Genomic DNA, 19,071 nt, shown 5'->3' on the forward strand with positions numbered 1-19,071 from the left:
GGCAGCTTGTTCTCTGGTCAGGTAGGGGCCACTTCTCTGACTCCCTTAACCTCACGGCTCTCCAGAGAACCTTTCTGACTCATGGGCTTACAATCCCTGAGGTCTGAAGTGCCATCAGAGTGGGGCTGGGAGGAGTGGGGATTCTCTGGGCATGGAAGACCACACACACCTGGCCGGCTCTGCTCAGTTCATGAATTTCCCACCTGGAGACTGGGCAGTTCATCACTCCTGTTCTCTGCAAGGAACTATAGGTCTGTTGCTGGTCATGTTTGAGCAACTTCTCTGAACTCTTACTGTTTGGAGCTGCAGTGAGAAGCAGCAGGCAGCAGAGCTGAATCACTGGCTCCTTTTCTCCCTCCCCATCTCTCTCTTTTCAGCCTGCAGATTTAGAAGCATGAGTAAGCTCTGCTTTACCCGACTCTTGCTTATTTCAAGCAGCATGCTGTTACCCTGTACCTAAAGACAGCCCTTGCCTCCCTCACAGGCAGGGATTCTGTTCTCCAGCATTACTTTTTAAAAGGTGTTCAGCTAGAAAATCGCATATTATTTCTTCTGTAAAGGTTTCTCCTTGCCACCTTTCCGTAGCTACAGCTGTCACAACCACAGTTAATATTTTGTGTGCCTGTACATGTGAGTGCACGGTGTGGGAAGGGAGATAATCAGTCTGTCCTCTTGGGCAGCAGCCTTCCAGTTCAGCTTTTATGAGCTGCATTTAAAAAATAAATAAATAGATCATATCGCTATCTTGCTCAGAGCTCTCCAGTGGCCCCTGTGCTCATAGAAGGCAGTGCACCACCTCACCAGGGCTGCAAGGCCCTGCGCCGTTAGGCCCCAGCCTGTTTTTCATGCTGCGTCTCACCACTCCCCTACTCCATTCCCAGGTATTTGTTATGGTGTTTGTTATGTCTCTCGAATATGTCATGTTTGTTCCCACTCAGAGGCCTTTGCATTGGTTTTTTCAGCAGGGAATGAACTTCCCTAAGATCTTCGTGGCCTTCTATCCTGTCATGCAGCTCTCAGCTCAAATGTCACCTCCTGAGAGGGACCTTCTCTGGTCATTCCCTATGAATGAGTCCTCACCCCTGCCTCTCTGGACCGCCACTCTGTTCTTCACAGCCCTTCATCACCATCTGACACCACATTCACTCATTAATTTATGTTCATCTGTCCATCCCTTCCTGTGTGTCTCATTCATCGCAGGATCCCAGGCTTTTAGAACTGTCCTGGTTCCACAAGCATTCAGTACAATTTTGGTACTGAAGACAGTGCACACAAGAGTGAAACAGCAGTGGGGACACTGACCGGGAGAGGCAAAGCGCTGTAGCAGAGATTGTGCGGAGATGCTGAGAGGAGAGAGGGCGTCTGCAGGGATACGGAGGTGCTGGCTGAGCTAGGTATGCCTGTGTAGACCAGGGCTCAGCTGTTCTGCCTGAGCCAGGCTGGCTCTGCTCTGGAGGAACAAAATTCATGGCACATGCCCAGGAAGACAGTGCGCTGAGGATGTCGACAGGTAAGGACTGTTGGACGCCAGGAGCAAGTGCGGGGGACTGGCCTGCTCTTCCTGAGGAGAAATGGACATCGCTTTGGGCTTTCACCGGTCCAAGCTCCCTTGTGGTTAATTGTTACTCTGTGCAAATCTGGGGTTCCTCCCAGCCCTCCACTAAAGGGAATTGTGCGCCAGAGTGGCTCTACATTTCATTTCCGACCTTATCATCCTTGTGCCCTAGAACTTTATTAGACATTGCAGAGATGATATCATGATGTCTTAAGATAGCCTTGCTTGGAAAATTATACCAGGTAAGATCTTATTACACCAGGAGATGAAGCCCATTACTTTAAAACTTTACCTCTGCCATGTATTGATTATGTGGCTCTGGGTGACTTCATTACTCTGTGCCTCATTTTTCTTGCCTTTAAAGTGGGTTTAGCCTGGGTGTGGTGGCTCACCCTGTAATTCTAGCACTTTAAGATGACAAGGCAGGAGGATTGCTTGAGCCCAGGAGTTCAACACCAGCCTAGGCAACATAGTGAGACCCCATCTCACCAAAATTTAAAAAATTAGCCAAGCATGGTGTGTTTGTAGTCCAAGCTACTCGGGAGGCTGAAGTGGGAGGATGGCTTGTGCCCAGGAGGTCGAGGCTGGGGTGAGCCCAGGTCATGCTATTGTACTTTAGCCTGGGTGGCAGAGCAAGACCCTGTCTCATTCATTCATACATACATATATACATAGTGTTTAATAATATCTATTTCACTAGGTTATTGTATAAGTTAATGGAACACTTAAGGAATTATTTACTGACTGGTAATAAATGGTCACTGTTGCTTTTATAGATTCATGCCTGGTTGTTTCATGAGGTGTCACTGATTCTTGTTTTGTCATGACCAAGATTATGCTTTTGCCCTGACCAATATCTAGGTGTTGCTAAGAGGAAGGAAGGCTGCAGAGAATGTGGTACTTATTGGATAAAATGTGTCAGACATACACAGAGTTAACCATCCCTGAGCATTTCCACCGTCTCCTTCCCTGCTGTCTTGTTCTTTTCTTACTTGGGCAACACGGAGGAGAGCAGGCTCTGGTTGCCTGAGAGGCCATCTGTCCTGTGATCCCTCACACCTGAAGCCTCCGTTCCCTCATTCTCCCAGCCATGGGCACCATGTCCACAGTGCAGATGGGGCGGGGGAGCAGTGTCAGCACTGCAGCCTGCAGGTGGAGATTTGGAAGAAAGCAGCATGAGCAGACACAAGCCTTCAGAATGAGACTAATTTTCATGAGGCTTTCCCTGGTAATAAAAGGAAATGGGGGCTGCAGAGAGCCTACAGTATTTCAGCAGATGGTCTTGTAATAGAATGTTTTTTCAAAGTTTCCTTGTGAGGCATCAGTGACTCTTGGAAAATTTGTATCGTGTAATGAGGAACAAAGACATGGCTTTGAGCATCCCTCTTCTTGGCATGTTTCTGAGTTGCCTCTCCCTCCTGGCACAGGTAGGTGGTTTTGGAAAGTGAGGAAGATGACCCTAGAGAAGCAGCCTCTCCTGATTTTTCTGTGCCTTTGAAGGAGCTGGGACTTGGTCCTAGGGTCAACAATGCCTGTTCAGCTCTGCCCCTCCTCACTCTTCCAGGCTTGGGCCTCAGCAGGACCCATTTGATGTCAATGAAGGAAGGTCTGCATTTCTGCAGTCCCTTAATCAGCTGCATCTCCCTCTGAATTGTGCCAACCTCATGGAATGGTGTGCACCTGTCCAAGCTGGCTTATGGAAGGAAGGGAGGGACGGATTCTTGGTGATAGTTTCTTCTTCAGACTCATAGTAGACAAGCCCAAGCATTGAGAACACCTACAGCAGGGCAGAATCACAGCAAACCCTTATGGCAGCCCTATGAGGAAACTGAGGCACAGAGAAATTGCAAATAATTGTTAGAGCCAGAATTTGAACCCAAGCCTCTTAAACATCACAGTGTACTGTACTGTCTTAATGATTAGCATCTCCTTTTCCCAAAATCAACTTCTCAGCATCATTCATTTTATTCCTTCTTTTTTCCTTTTTTTTTTTTTTTTGAGACAGTCTTGCTCTGTTGCTCAGCCCGGCATGCAGTGACATTATCATAGCTCACTGTGGCTTCCATCTCCTGGGCTCAAGTGATCCTCCTGCCTCAGCCACCTGAGTAGCTGGGGCTACAGGCATGCACCACTATGCCCAGCTAATTTTTATTTTTAATAGTAGAGATAAGGTCTCACTACATTGCCTGAGCTGGTCTTGAACTCCTGAGCTCAAGTGATCCTCCTGCCTTGGCCTCTGAAAATGCTGGGATTATAGACGTGAGCCACTGTGCCTGGCCATTTTATTCTTGTAGGGAATATTTACTCTGTGTCACTTGGAATAAAGCGGTAACACAATTTAGCCCCTAGCCTCCAGCCTCCAGGAATTTATGGTTTAGGAAGAGTACAAGCAGGTAAACAGAAAAATGAACATAAAATTTGTTCTTTGGACATCTCTCTGTATAAACACAAGAACATACCTATGCCAAGTTGGCATCTGGCAATAATTTGGAAATTTATATTACCATATATCCACATGCTAAATACTGTATTAGCTGTGGGAATGTATGTAGCTGTGTGTAGATGACATACAAGTATAAGGTGCACTAATTTCATTTATCATTACAACATAGGTAGACATAGTTCTCATTTTCGGCCGGAACCTGGAGGGATCATTGTGCTTTCCTCCCTCCCTTCCCTGCTGCATCTAATCAGTCAGTCTTCTCCTGTTGAACCCCCTCACCCCACAACCCAGCCTCAGTTCAGTCCTTGTCATACTCCCCAACCTGGATTACTGCATCGGCTCTCTCACTGGTCTCCCCACCTCAGGCTTTTTTTTCTTAATATTTTGATAACTGTATTTCAATATAATTCGTTTCTTTGGTAATCTTATGTATTTTTAACATCTTTATTGAGATATTCATAAACAATGAAATCACCCATTTAAAGCACACATTTCCATGGTTTTTAGTGTGTTCATTGAGTTGTGCAGCCATTGCCACAATTTAAGTTTAGGACATTTTCATCACCTGGATGGAAACCCTGCTCCCATTAATAGTCACTTCCCATCACCCCTGCCTCGGCCCCCAGGTCTTGGCAAGCACTCATCTGTTTTCTATCTCTATGTGTTTGCCTAATCTGGACATTTCATATTAATGGAATCATATACTATGTGGCCTTTCGTGTCTGGCTTCTTTCACTTAGCGTAACGTTTTCAAGGTTAATTTATGTTGTAGCATGTATTAGTACTTCATTGTTTTTTCTGGCTGAATGATATTCCATTATATAGATATACCACGTTTTAAAATTCATCTGTTAGTTGATGGACATTTAGGGGCTAAGTGTAGGGGAAGGTGGGAGCTGCCTGCTGTTGGACACAGAGTTTCTTTTAGGGGTGACGAAAATGTTCTAAAATGAGATAGTTGTGATGATTGCACAACTTTGTGAATGTACTAAAACCCACTGCATTATAGATTTTAAAAGGGTTTTATGATATGTGAATTATATTTCAATAAAAAATCTAAAAACACATTTTAGAAAGAACTCTGACAGTTATTAATACTATAGATGAACATATTAAGAGGGAGGGAAGACAGGTGTAATGAAGGAAGATAAAACACTGATACTGACATATAACATCCCAGGGCACCTCAGGATCAGTTCCAAGTGTGGAGATTAGCCCATATCATCTCAAAGTTATATTTGTCCTTGAGATATGCCTTTTTATATTAAAAATCTGTTATCTAATATGGTCATGGATAGGTATATTTTCTTTTCTGATTAAATATTTAATAACACTTTTATTATGAAAATAATTCTTGGCTGCCATTTATTTTGAAGAAAATTATAGTGTACCAGATATTTGTTTAGTACTTTATGTGTATGATCTTATTTAACTTCACTGCAACCTCTTGAAATAGAGATTATATTAATTTCTCCGTTGTATGGGTTAGGAAACTCTGGCATAGAGAAGTTCTTTTTATTTATTTATTTATTTATTTTTAATTTATTTTTTTTATTATACTTTAAGTTTTAGGGTACATGTGCACATTGTGCAGGTTAGTTACATATGTATACATGTGCCATGTTGGTGCGCTGCACCCACTAATTTGTCATCTAGCATTAGGTATATCTCCCGATGCTATCCCTCCCCACTCCCCTCACCCCACAACAGTCCCCAGAGTGTGATATTCCCCTTCCTGTGTCCATGTGATCTCATTGTTCAATTCCCACCTATGAGTGAGAATATGCGGTGTTTGGTTTTTTGTTCTTGCAATAGCTCACTGAGAATGATGATTTCCAATTTCATCCATGTCCCTACAAAGGACATGAACTCATCATTTTTTATGGCTGCATAGTATTCCATGGTGTATATGTGCCACATTTTCTTAATCCAGTCTCATTGTTGGACATTTGGGTTGGTTCCAAGTCTTTGCTATTGTGAATAATGCCGCAAGAGAAGTTCTGACTTGACCACGGTCACTCAAGTAGGAAGTGACAGATCTAGTATTCAAATCTAACTTTTTCTGAGTCTAAAGCCTGTTCCCTGAAGCCCTTACTCTTTATTATTTTTTAAAATTAGAGTGCATTATCATTAATCTAAAGTAAGGGTTGTGAGGAACATAATTTAGACCCATCATGGATCTTGCAGAGTTTTGACGATCTCACTATAACCATCATTTATCTTTCCATAAGCATGATCTAGTGCCTTAGTACTCAAAGTAACATTACCTAGGCTGGGCGTGGTTGCTCACGCCTGTAATCCCAGCACTTTGGGAGGCCAAGGTGGGAGGATCGCTTAACCCCAGGAGTTTGAGATCAGCCCAGCAACATAGGGAGACCCCGTCTTTCCAAAAAAAAAAATTTTTTTTTTTAATTAACTGGGCATTGTGGCATGTGCCTGTGATCCCAGCTACTAGGAGGCTGAGGTGGGAAGATTGCTTGAGCCCAGGAAGTTGAGGCTGCAGTGAGCTGTGATCATGCCACTAAACTTCAGCCTGGGTGAAGGAGCAAGACCTTGCCTCAAAACAAAACAAAACAAAACCATTGCTTGGGAATGTTGGAAATGTTTAATCTAGTCCAGGCGTAATGGCTCACACTTGTAATCCCAACACTTTGGGAGGCCTAGGTGGGAGGATGGCTTGAGCCCAGGAGTTCAAGACCAGCCCGGGCAACAAAATGCGATCCCGTCTCTACCAAAAATAAAAGTAAAAAATTAGCCAGGCATGGCAGCATGCGCCTGTAGTACCAGCTACTCCGGAGGCTGAGGTGGAAGTATCACTTAAGCCCAGGAGATCAAGGTCACGTCACGGGACATTTCTTGGAGTACAGAGTGAGACTCTGTCTTTTTTTTAAAAAAAAGAACTGTTTAACCCTGGGCCCATCCCAGATCCAAAGAATCTTGGGCCCAATTTTGATGAGTCTAGACTAATCTAGAAGCTAGGATCTGCCTTTTATCAAAATACTGGGTGATTCAAATGCACTTTAAACATTTGAGAAGCATGGTTATAATACATGTTCTTAGATTAGTTCAGTTTGGTGATCCACCAATGATTTTTACATTGTCAAAGCACACAGCTCAGGATGGAATGACGTGGTCCCCAAATGTGAGGTTGCTGACCTGGGAGTCAGGAATCTGTCTTCGTAGTCCTGCTCTTGTGTGATAATGCAGCAAGTCACTTAATCTGAATCCTATTTTATTCATATATGAAATGAATAATTTGCTTAAATCTCAATTTTGCATTTAAGTACATTTACCTCACAGATACCACATCAGCTGTATCACACATTTTTTTAAACGTAGAACTTTTATTCTTGTAATTTTGAAATTTCTATCATTATTTTATCTTAGCCCACAAATTATTTAAGAAGACATTTCACCACAACTCATTTTAACTGTCCTTTTCATTGCACTGAAATTCTTTTTTTTTTTTTTTTTTTGGTGGGTGTGACCTGCAAGAGTGGGATGTTTTTAAAATGTTCCATTCCTCTGTAAAAGAATGTAGATATTTAATTTTGGGAGTAGTGATTCTAGAAATATGTCTGTTAAACCAACCTTGTTAATTTTATTAATCAGATACTCTAAATCTTTTTAACCTTTTTCTCTGCTGTCTTAGGGAAAGAGCCTTCAATATTACACCAATAAGCATGATATTATATATAGATTTTTTTGGTACGTGTCCTTCATCAAGTTGAGGAAACTTTCTTCTATTACTAGTTTTCTAAAAGTTTTCTCTATGAATGGATGTCATATTTTGTCAAATGCTTTTCTTACATCTATTGAAAATGATCGTATGATTGTCTTCTTATTCTTTTTTAATGTGGTGAAGTACGTTGTTATGCTAGCATCCTGCTGGCGTAAACCCTAGTTGGTTATGGGTATTATCTTTTTTGCACATTGATGGAACTGATTTGCCAGTTTTTCTATTAAGGATTTTTACATCTCTTTTCTCGAGGAATACTGGTTTGGTATCATTATAGCAGCCTCATAAAATGAGTTGGGAACTGTTTCCTCCTCTATTTGCTGAAAGAATTTTCTTAGAAGTTGTATGATTTCTTCCTTAAATATTTGATAAAATTGGTGAAGCCATCTGGACTGGGAAATTCTTTGGGGTAAGGCTTATGTTTTGTTTTGTAAATCAAGGAAAATTATGTATTTTTAAATGATCAGATATATAATTTTTATATTTCCATTACTGCATTCATCACATTGTGTATATTGTTGAGTTGGTTAGCTTAGCTTATTGGATTATGGTTTATACTTCTGAACACATCTGGGAATTTTTCATCTATTCTTGAAATATTCAAATATTTTTCCACTACCACTGTCTCCTCCCAAGAGTTCAATTACATGTATGCTAGACCACTTGATATTGAAATTGTCCCACAGGTTCCTGAGGTAGTATTCACTTTTTCAGCCTTTCATTTTAGCTCTTGAAATTCCATTTGGTACTTTTCAGTAGCTTCCATTTATATCATTATGTTTACATTTTCTTTAAATCCTTCAACATGCTTACAGTAGCAGTTTTAAAGTCCTCATTTGCTAATTGCATTATCTGTCATTTCCAAGTCTATTTTTAGGAACTACTTTTTCTTTTGGTTAGGACTTGTGGGTTATTTAGTAATATGCTTATTTTCTAAACATTTGAGGATTTTCTGGGTGTCTTACAATTTCTAATTTAATCCTTTTGTGATCATAGAACATACTTTGTGTGATTTCATCCTTTTAAACTTATTAGCTCAAGATGTGGTCCATTTCAGTGACTGTTCCATGTGTATTTGAGAAGCATGTGTTTCCTGCTGTTGTTAGATGTAGTGTTGTATACATGTCATTTGGGTCACGTTGGATGATAATACTGTTCAAATCTTCCATATCCTTGTTGATTTTTTTGTCTACTTGTTCTATCAATATTTTGAGAGCAGATCAAAGTATTTGACTGTGATTGTGGATTTATTTATATTCCTCTTTAGTCTCAGATTTGCTTTATGTATTTAGGAGTTTTATTATAAGTACCTATACATTTAGAATTGTTATTCTTGAATAATTGTCCCGTTTATGATTATGAACTGCCCCTCTTTATATCTGGTCTTATTTTTTGCCTTGAATTCTTCTTTAACTAATATTAATATAGCTACACCAGCTTTTTTATACTTAGCATTTGCACAATATATCTTTTTCCTTTTTTCCCCAAATTTTTGTGTCTTCGTATTTAAAAGCTATTTCTTATTAATAACACGAAGTTAGGACTTTGCCTTCTCATTGGGGAGTGTGATAGGAAGAATAATGGCCCCCCAAAGATTTCTACCTTCTAGTACCTGGAGCCTGTGCATGTTTTCTCTCACATGGCAAAAGGAACTTTGCAGGTGTGATTAAGTTAAGGATATGTGATGGGGAGGTTATCCTTTGTTATCCAGGTGGGTTCAGTGTAATGTCAAGGTCCTTATGAGGGAAGGGGGAAGGCAGGAGAGACAGAAAAGAAGATATGATAAGGGTAGCAGAAGTCAGTGTGATGTGAGGCCATGAGCCAAGGAATGGGGGTAGCCGCTAGCTAGAACTGGAAAAGGTAAGGAAATAGATTCTTCTCTAGAACCCCCCTGATAGGTACAGCCCTGCCACTAGCATGATTGTAGTCAAATAAGACCTGTTTGAGACTTCTGACCTTTAGAATGGTAAGAGAAGACGTTTATATTGCTTTAAGCCACTAAGTTTCTGGTAATTTCATACCATAGCAACAGGAACTAATACAAGGGCTAAGTTGGTTTATATTTGATGTAATTTCTGATGTGACTATTTAAGTCAGCCATCTTGATGTTTGATTTCTGTTTGTTTCATCTGTTCTTTGTTCCTCTTTGCTTCTTTCTTGCAGGTTTGTTTTTGGTGGGGGAGAGTGGGGATGAGTCAATATATTTAGAATTCTGTGATCTCCTCTATTGACTATTTGTGCTTTTTAGATTACTTTTTTAGGGTTGCTCTAGAAATTATTTTTCAAAAACATAATCTACGTTCAAAAATATCCCATTACTTAAGGAATTATTTAAGAATTTTATAAAAGCTTCCTGCTTGGAATTTTTCTGAGCTTCTCAGATTTGTTGTCTCAGACTTAGTTGTCGTCAATCAACTCCAGAGAATTCTTGGCCATATATTTTATTTCTTTTGCCCCACTTTTCTCTTCTACTGGGACTCCAATTAAATATATGCTTTGGATATTTAATATTGTTCTGTTAATCTTGGGGGCCCTGTTCCATTTCATTTTTCATTCTTTTGTCTGTTTGTGTTTTAATTTAGATAATTTATAATGCCTTGTTTTCAAGTTCACTGATTTTTGCTCCGTCCAATATGCTAATAAACCCATGAATTCATGCCATATCATGCTAGAAATGGATTTCTAGCATTTCCATTTGGTTCTGTTTTATAGTTTCCGGTGGTGTCAGTGAAACTGGTAGAATAAGGGTCTCTAAAAATCCTCTTTCATAAAAGCAATGAAAAAACTGGCAAAACTAGTCAGAATCTATTTTTTCAGAACTCTGAAAATTGATCAAAGGCTTGCAGCAATCCAGGAGCATTTGTTCAAGAAAAAATGAATGACTCTGAGTAAGAAAAGTGAGCTTTGTGCCATTTTAATTTATCATGTCCCATCCCTGTTTCCCCTGCAGCACCACAGTAGCCCTGAAAACCTGTAGTCCACAGGCACAGTGCAGACTTGCAGCCTGCCAGCCACCAGAAGGGGCAGAAAAAGGTTGGACCTCCTTCAAAGCCCCATTCCCAGAAAAATGTCATTATTTTTCCTGTCTGGTGATTCCCTGAAAGAGACCCCACTTATAAGGCCGTCTTTATACAACCTGACTCAGAGGTTGCCCAGTGCTAACAGCTTTTTCCCAGAGGACATTTGTCAAAAACAAGCAGAGGCAATTGTTGAATATTATAGCTGCCTGGGGAGGTAGATAACAATTTGGGCAAACAATAGGGTAACCTGAAAGCTTAAAAAGAAAAGCTAGGGAATGAGGTGGCCATAGGAGGCTTTGAAAAGCTCATATACTATTCCTGGGATTTTAAAAGACCAAGACTATGTATGTGGCTTTGCACAATATTTCAAAGGGATCCACACTTAAGTACTTCACAATCAAGCTGTCAAAAGGCAAAGTCAAAGAAAAGATTTTGGAAATAGCAAGAGAGAAGTGACTCATCATCTACAAGGAATCCTGAATAATATAAAAGACTGATTTCTCATCATGAACAATGGAGGCAAGATAGTTTTATCACTCTGTGGAAATTCTCTATATCTTCACACGTGATATTTACCTTTTTCTACTAGGTTCTTTAACATATTAATCATAGTTATTTAAAGTCCCTTTGTATTAATTCCAGTCTGGGCCATTAATGTGTCTGGTTCCAGTATTTTATCTCTATATGGAGGGTCATTATTTTCGCACGTACACGTGTTTGTGTGTGTGTATGTGTATGTGTATTTTTAAAGTTTTGATTTAATGCTCAACATTTTGTGTAAACAAAATAAAACAGTAGACAGTCCACTATATATTTATGTCCAGTAAAGGATTTCTTTTCTTCTGTAAGACCATTAGTATGGGGGCTTGGGTTTCTTCTAAGTAGCAAGTCGTTAGGGTTTTTTTCCTTTCTTTTATCCAAATTGATAATCATTTTTCTTTTAAGGGTGAGATTAATCAGTTCATATATTAGTTAACAGTTACTAAGTAACAAATTACAAAATGTAGTGACTTAAACATTTATTATCTTGTGGTTTCTATGGGTCAGGGATCTGGGCCTGGCTTAGCTGGGTGCCTCTGCCCTAAGGTCTTGTAGTCAAGGTATCTGCCGGGGCTGCTATCTCATTTGAAGGCTCCACTGGGGGAGGGTCTGCTTCCAAGCTCACTCATGTGACTGTGAGCAGGAGTCAGTTCCTTGAGGACTGATGGACTGAGGGCCTCCGGTCCTCACTGGCTGTTGTTCAGTGGCCACCCTCAGTGTCTTACTATGTAATTTTGGCCTTCTGAGACCTGTCTTCACAGTGGTAGTGGACGCAGCTCATAAAATGGAAGCTTGCCTCATCAGTGTGAACAAGGAAAAGAGTATGAGCAAGACAGAAATCACTGTCTTTTAAAACTAAATCTTGGAAGTGACATCCCATCACTTTGCCATATTCTATTTATTAATAATGAGTCTCAAGTTCCAGCCTACACTCAAGAGGAGATCCCACAGGGGCATGAGGCCTAGGAGGTGGAGATCATCAGGGGCCATCTTGGAGGCCCCCTTCGTGTGCTTTTTGTGGTAACCAATTTACTTACACTTATTTCTATAATTTTATTTGGTCTTTTCTGTTTACCATTCTCTCCCTCTCTCTCCTCTCCCCCTTTCCCACTTTCCCTAAGTCACCCCTACCAGTGTCTTTCTCCTTCCCCTCGCCCACCTCCCATCCTCTCACCTGCCTTCTACTCTGGCTTCCGTCCTCCTTCCCCTCTCTTACCCCCTTGTCCTCTCCAGTCTTTCCTTCCTCATCTTCTGAAACAGCTGTTAGACACATTCTGGACCATCAGTCTGTCTTCCACAGTTCTTAGCTTTTATCAGACTTTTTATCTTTGGGTTTGTTATTTTTGAGACAGAGTCTTACTCTCTTCTCCAGGCTGGAGTGCAGTGATGCGATCATAACTCACCGCAGCCTCAAACTCCAGGGACCAAAAAATCCTCCTGCCTCAGCCTCTCAAGTAGCGGGCATGTGCCACCATAGCCAACTAACTTTTTATTTTTATTTTTTGTGAAGATGGAGTCTTGCTTTGTTGCCCAGTCTGGTCTCCAGCTCCTGGACTCAAGCAATCCTCCCGACTTTTTATCTTTGTCTTCTATTACTACATTCTTGCTCAAATCTCTGTACTTCATTTCAGTTTGATAATTTTTCCCTTGTTGTTCTCAGCTTAGAGTTTGTCTTATCCATTTCATTTTTTATTTTGTAGATTTTAAATGTATAATCTTTACCTATTTGGTGGTTAGCCTGTTTCAGGTTCATAATTTCTTTTTTGTAAATCAGAAGTTACTTCGTTTTACCTTTCTGAGCAACTTAAACATGCATATTTAAAATTATTCATCAATTGGAGATTGTAATGCTAGCTGGATATCTGATGATGTTAAAGAATTCATGTTAAATTATTTTTGGTATGCAATAGTACTATGGTTGTGTTTTAGAAATTAAAAGTCCTTATTTTTTAGAGCAACATATTGAAGCTATGTAGATGAAGAGATCTGTAAGAAACCTGGGGGTGGAGAAGGTAGAGGGTAGAGATGAAAGAAGATCTCTTTAGTTTCTAATTGTTGAAGCTTGCTGATGGCTATCTGGGGTTTTATTGTATTCTTTCTTGTGTTTAAATTTTTGCATAATAAAAAGTTTTTTGAAATCCTTTGTCATATTGTCCTATAAAATTAATGTCATCTGGAGTGAATTCATATTTCAGTTACTGCTTTTATTGGTAGCCTTTTTAGAAATTCTATTTCTTCCCATATTTGAGATTCAGTTTATAGGTTCATTTGGAGTGGAAAGTTCACTATTTCTATTGTCACCTACACCTGCACCTCAGTGCAGGACGAGGTCTGATTTTGGCCTTCTGAGGCCTGTCTCCACAGTGGTCCTGGTGATATTGCAGAGCCAGGAACTGAGTGACTAGGTTCATTTGTGGTCCAGGGGCGGGATCTGTAGCTTCCAGGCTTTCTAGGTTTAAGTAAACTGAAAACCCTGGCCCTCAGTGGAGGTCTTCAGAAGTTTTTTATATCAGCTTCTTATTTTAGGGAGATCCCTAGGCTGCAGGTCGCCAGCCTGGCTTCAGGCCCCCGCTTGTGCGGAATGTGGTTTATTCTGACCCTGCACGATAAAGAGGGTTCCTGACTGCCTCTGCCTGCTCCAGACTTGGAGCCAGCAGGCCTGTGGCTTCAGCCTCACCCACTGCTTTGCATTTCTGTTTGGTATTGGACACTTTAATCTTGTTTTTGAACTTGTCCGTGTCTTTTTGTCATCTGTTCTATATTTTATCTGCCAGTGCTATGTGTTTGGAGTAGGGTAGAGGCATCAAAGTGTGAACTCACTGTGTTGTGTTGACTGGAGGAGGTCCTTGACCAAATCATGCAGATTCCCTCAATTCTCTATTCAAAGACTGTCATCTGCTAAGTACATGTTCATAATGATGACATTTTACCTTTATATTAGAGTCAACATTCTTAATTTCAAAATTTTTCCCTGAAGACTTTCTTAGAAATCTCCTTAGGGAAAATAGCAACCCGCTAACCCTACAAGTGAGTCTGTCTTATGGTCTTCCCAGCACATCTCTCTGTAATTATTTATCTGCACACACATTTGTGTCTCCCACTGGGATCTAAGCTTCATGATAGCAGAAATTCTCTCTCTGGCTTCCCTGTTGTGCCCTCAGCCCTTTTACAATTCTGTCTGTCACATAGAGGTGTCCTTCATGGTGTTCTGGTAAGTGACGCACTCAGGCACTGAAACCACAGTTGTGCTGCGTGCTGCGTGGCCTCTCATGAGTGCTAGGAAGCCAATTTGAGACTGCGGGGCAACTGTGTGGAGTGGCGGGTGCTGCCCAGTGTGCTCTTCCATACTTCACAGCCAGATCAGTGAGTGTCTGCTCTGGGCCAGGCACTGACACACAGGCATTTGTGTCATACTCAGTTTCTACAGCCATTTTTCGTGTCACCTCCTGTCCATTGTCAGTCATTGGGATTGCATTCTAAATCTCAGATGAGCAGAGCCAGTGGGCAGGGCTTTGTAGCAGATGAATTAGAGACGGTGAGCTCACCACCCTGGTGGCTCACTTGTGACGAAGCCAAGGTGTTGGGGATATGGTGCACATCACGGAGTTTTCATTCAAGTGGGAGGCACAGCCTCATCCCTCTCCACACAGTTCATTTCATTCTTAACTGCTCAATTGTGTTGCATTGGACATGAATAGAAAAGTAGGCCTTGATGTCCTCAACGTTTCTTCCTGTTTGTGTGAACAGTCTCTAGCCTAAGGAGGTGCTGATGGCTAGGCATCTTCACCCAACACTTTAGTCCTGCGTCCCATTCATCACATAGACGTCCTGCTGGCACAGGCCCTGAAAGCTTCAGGATGAGCATCCTGGTAGCCACGGCCCAGAGGAGGCATCGCAGTGTGTCAGTGGGATGGTGGTGGATGTGTGAACGCACCTCCTTGTCTCTGCTGCTTCACTTAACTGTAGAGAATGGCAGCTGAAGAGCCTTATGATGGTTTTGCCTTCAGATGTCATCTTCCTGCTTGGCTGGGACTGCTGGTCAAAAAATGACAGGTCCAGAGCCCTCAGAGACTTTCTTTTACTGGCTGTTTAATTGCATCAGACGAGCTTCTCCTCTCACTGCACCAGGGATTGGTAACAGTTAAGTGCTGGACCGCTGAGAGGCCCAGCGCAGATTAGCCGTGCTTGCATTCCTGGGACACAGCTTCAGCAGCACACTTTGAAAAGCCCTGTGAGAAATTCCTGGCATTTAGTCCCACTGTTTGTATTTAGCTTTTCTGAAGTGTTGGCATTCCAGAGGCATTCCAGAAGCCTTCCTGGCATTTTTAGATCCCCTGCAGCTGCCTGGGGATCCAGGTTACTACTTCTTCTCCCTTATACAGGTAAGGGGAAAACAGACAAGACAGCATCTTGCTCAGGCTTCCTAGAGGCCACTCAGTGATAGAGCCGATGTTAGAACTTAACTCTCAGGGGTTCAGCCAGCCACCCAAGCCCACTGGCCTGGTGTGGCCCTTTCAGCTGAGTCTTTCTCCTGGTGCTCTGCACTCAGGGGCACTAGTGAGTGGTCAGCTCTTATTACAGACCAACCTGCTGGTGGTTCTGCAAGGTTCCCTGTCAGTAGGAGTAGCATTGCCAGGGAGATGGGCTTTCAAAAACTTGGGTTCATGTCTTACCCCATGTTTTTGAGTGATTCAAACCCATGTGCTGATACCATAGAGTGGCTTAAAAGGAAAAAGCTCAGGACTTGGAAGTCATATGAACTTAGGTTCACAGTCTACCGCTGGCTAGCTTGTGCTCTTGTGGGTAGTGAGGATTCAGTGTCATCAGGAGCTTAGCGGAATACCTGAGCGCACACAGCCCTAGCATAGGGACAGACAACAAGCAGTTGGTGTTATTCCTCCATACAGTCACAAAAGGCAGTCCTGAGCTCCCAGGCCCCTGTGACTGTCTCCATCCTGACCCTTAGTGTGGAGTTGTTCCACATTTGACCCATGGAGGGTAGAGGCGGGCCCTGGGGCCTAGGCCTGGGAAGCCCCTGGAGACTCTGGGGACATGAGTATCCCAGTGACGGGACTTACATCCCTGCCTTGCCGTGTGCTGGTGACCCTTTATGGAGGTCTATTGAGACCTTGCCCACTTCTGTTGGGGTTTCCTTTAACCTTCTGTACAGCTATGCATCCCTTCCAGCTTTACACATCATGCCTGAGGAAGCTGGAGGTCAGGAACTTGTTCAAGGTCGCCTAGCTAATTAAGGGTGGGCTGGGTTCAACCTGACATCTGCCAGCCTCAGGTTGCTTGCCCTGGTGAGCTGAGCCCTCAGCCTAACTGGATCTGGAGGGAGGGCCCTTGGCCCTGTGCTCCAACAGGGACTCAACCATCCCCATCAGGCGGGTGAGGAAGCAGCGCCTCTCCAGCTGACTCTGTGCGTGTCTTCCTGCAGGCATGGATCCCTGCTCCTTCCAGCTCAGAGCATGAGGCTGTGGCATGGTGTGGTTCCAAGCATAAAGACACCAAGGCCAGCACATAGCTGTGTGGCTCACGGCAGCACACCCAGCGGCCGGACACACCTGCATTGACCAAGGTTCAGACCCCAGCTACTCTCTGAATAGCTGTGAGCTTTCAGACAACTACTTAGGCCCCCTGTTGTCATCTGGCTTCTCATCTGTAGCAGGGGATCATGATGATCCCACCTGCCCTTTAGAAGTGTGGTAAGGATCAAAGGAAATAACTGTGGGAGAACTGTGAACAGGACTCCCATAATCAATAAATGTTATTTATCTGTGAAGTGGCTATAGTAATTACCCACCTTGAAGGATTGTTGTGAAAATTAAGCACAATATATGTGAATGATCTGGCATATCATAAGGTTTTCAACTCATTATTGCTACTGTTCTCATTGTGAATGTGAGCAGAAATGTCCGTCGCCTTCTCCCTGCAGCACCATTCCAGCACCATCGCTGCTGGCTAACGTGGGCTTTGTTCTCTTCCAAGCAGGCCAGGGAGCTGGAGAGCAGAGAGGCAGAGCTAAGACGCCGTGACACCTTCTACAAGGAGCAGCTGGAGCGTATTGAGAGGAAGGTAAGACTCCTGCTTGGCTGCATTCCTCGGGGCCAGGTCCTAAAGGCATCTGACCAGAACACATCACTGTCATGGGGGGAGAGAGGAGTCCGCAGACCCAGTGCCCATTCGCCCAGATGCCAGTCACTCCTTGGACATGCCCTCCTGCATTCTGCAGCAGGCACCCAAATAGAGCCTTTCAACAAGTTGCATTCATGGAGATAATTGGTTTTTAATTGTCTCCCCCTGCCCCACCTTTTTTTGTTGAATGTGGCTGGCTCTACGGTAGTTCAATTTTAGAAAAAAATTCACTTTCACCACAGGGCGGTGCTGAGTCCCAGTATACCTTTTCCACTTTAGTTAAGCTGCATTTGGTAAAAATAATAATAACGTGATGTCTTGCTATACAAATACATTAAAGTTTTATTATTGATTTTCTCCTGGGAGTCGGGAAGATCAAAGTGCACTACGGCTGCACACTCACTGCTTTTCTAAGGATAAGCCTTTGAAATGAATGAGATTTAAAAACATATCATCATGCCTTTAAAAAAAAAAAAAAAAAACCCCTACCACGACTCTTGAAAATTCATTTGGTAACTTGCTTATTTTTTGGTTTAATTTGTGGATCATGACAGATTTTTCAAAGAAATGGCTTAAAATGTGGGAGGGGATGGTTGGGAGGTTAAAAAAAAATTGTTCCCCCTCATGCCTGAGACAGCATGCCAAGCAACCTGAGCCATCAGCTTATTGCAGGCAAATCTTCGCAAATCATTTGTCATGGTTTGGAGCTTTGAAATTGACAGTTTGCTTGAGGGGCCTGATTTCCACAGGGGTTTTCTCCTGTGGCATGCCACAGTGGAGGCTGACAGAAATATGGGTTTCTGGATTTCCAGGCCATGGGGAAAAGAGGGAGGTTCTTCCTTGCCCCATCAACACCTGCTTGTCCACCTTTGCCGGTGTTTAGGGGATGGCCAGAGTTGACATGCCATGAACACAGCGTGCTGATGGTGATATTCCATAGTCTGAGGAATGGCAGTGCACCTCTGAGCTGCTTTCCGAGTGGCCCTTAACAAGTAAATCTTTCACAGAGCAGTCTCATGCACAGGTTTGACTGTAGCTTATAATGACAAGGATTGTGATTTGAGATCCCAGAAAAGGGTAAAAAAAATTCCACCAGCCATAGCTCTAATTATCACAGTTGCCGATATGTTCATAGGCACAGGGTTTTGGTTTTGTCTTTTTATTTGTGCAATTCTTTGGTCTCCTTTGTGCTCCCCATGTTTCCCTTCCTGGGCTTGGCTGCTAGAGGCATGTGTACATATCTCTGTTTCAGGCAGAAAGGAAAGAGCCTCGCAGCATTTTTGCCTCTCTAAAATCTGTTTTCCTCTTGTCATTCTCCCCTCTCATCTCTACCCTAGTTCTCCTCCTAGAAACCAAGTCTCTGCTTTGCTAAAGGAGAGGAAATTCTGGATGAGTCTTCTTGCTCTTCATTAAGTGAAGTCCAAACTCCTTGCATATGCAGGTGTGGGCTTTTTAAAAATCGAGGTTTCCTAGATGATTGTGAAGAGTTATTAAATGCTTCCAGAAGGAGGTGCAAAAGCATGATCTCCTTTCTGACTCTTAAACACAGCATTTTGCTGGTGATAATAAAAAAAAAAGGAGAGCACCTCCAACATCTCAGGAAATGGAGATTGGTGTGGGAGATAGGAGGATTAAA

The 19,071-nt window shown here is 42.5% G+C and overlaps 1 protein-coding gene across 2 annotated transcripts in view, besides 4 other annotated features; it reads left to right on the top strand.

Annotated features, from left to right (window-relative positions):
- The window catches only part of CHCHD6 (coiled-coil-helix-coiled-coil-helix domain containing 6), a 256,181-nt gene that overhangs the window by 131,116 nt on the left and 105,994 nt on the right, over positions 1 to 19,071 (top strand). Inside the window, exon 5 of one of the 2 annotated variants that reach the window (NM_001320610.2) lies at positions 17,289 to 17,375. In NM_001320610.2, the coding sequence (NP_001307539.1) occupies positions 17,289 to 17,375 (87 nt within the window). The remainder of the gene's footprint in view (positions 1 to 17,288; positions 17,376 to 19,071) is intronic. The other variant, NM_032343.3, reaches the window with a different exon arrangement.
- Positions 16,165 to 16,726: an enhancer, noted in NCBI's record as "NANOG-H3K27ac-H3K4me1 hESC enhancer chr3:126570363-126570924 (GRCh37/hg19 assembly coordinates)". NCBI's record gives its function as "activates a minimal SCP1, AML or CMV promoter by ChIP-STARR-seq in primed H9 embryonic stem cells {active_cell/tissue: H9 hESC(primed)}" and the evidence as "EXISTENCE:reporter gene assay evidence [ECO:0000049][PMID:30033119]".
- Positions 16,727 to 17,290: an enhancer, noted in NCBI's record as "H3K27ac-H3K4me1 hESC enhancer chr3:126570925-126571488 (GRCh37/hg19 assembly coordinates)". NCBI's record gives its function as "activates a minimal SCP1, AML or CMV promoter by ChIP-STARR-seq in primed H9 embryonic stem cells {active_cell/tissue: H9 hESC(primed)}" and the evidence as "EXISTENCE:reporter gene assay evidence [ECO:0000049][PMID:30033119]".
- Positions 16,727 to 17,505: a biological region, named in NCBI's record as "Sharpr-MPRA regulatory region 387".
- Positions 17,211 to 17,505: a silencer, noted in NCBI's record as "tiled region #387; HepG2 Repressive non-DNase unmatched - State 7:EnhWF, and K562 Repressive non-DNase unmatched - State 23:Low". NCBI's record gives its function as "represses a minimal TATA promoter and a strong SV40 promoter by Sharpr-MPRA in HepG2 and K562 cells {active_cell/tissue: HepG2 | K562}" and the evidence as "EXISTENCE:reporter gene assay evidence [ECO:0000049][PMID:27701403]".

Source organism: Homo sapiens, chromosome 3, assembly GCF_000001405.40.
Source record: "Homo sapiens chromosome 3, GRCh38.p14 Primary Assembly".
In the NCBI taxonomy this organism is placed as follows: Eukaryota; Metazoa; Chordata; class Mammalia; order Primates; family Hominidae; genus Homo; species Homo sapiens.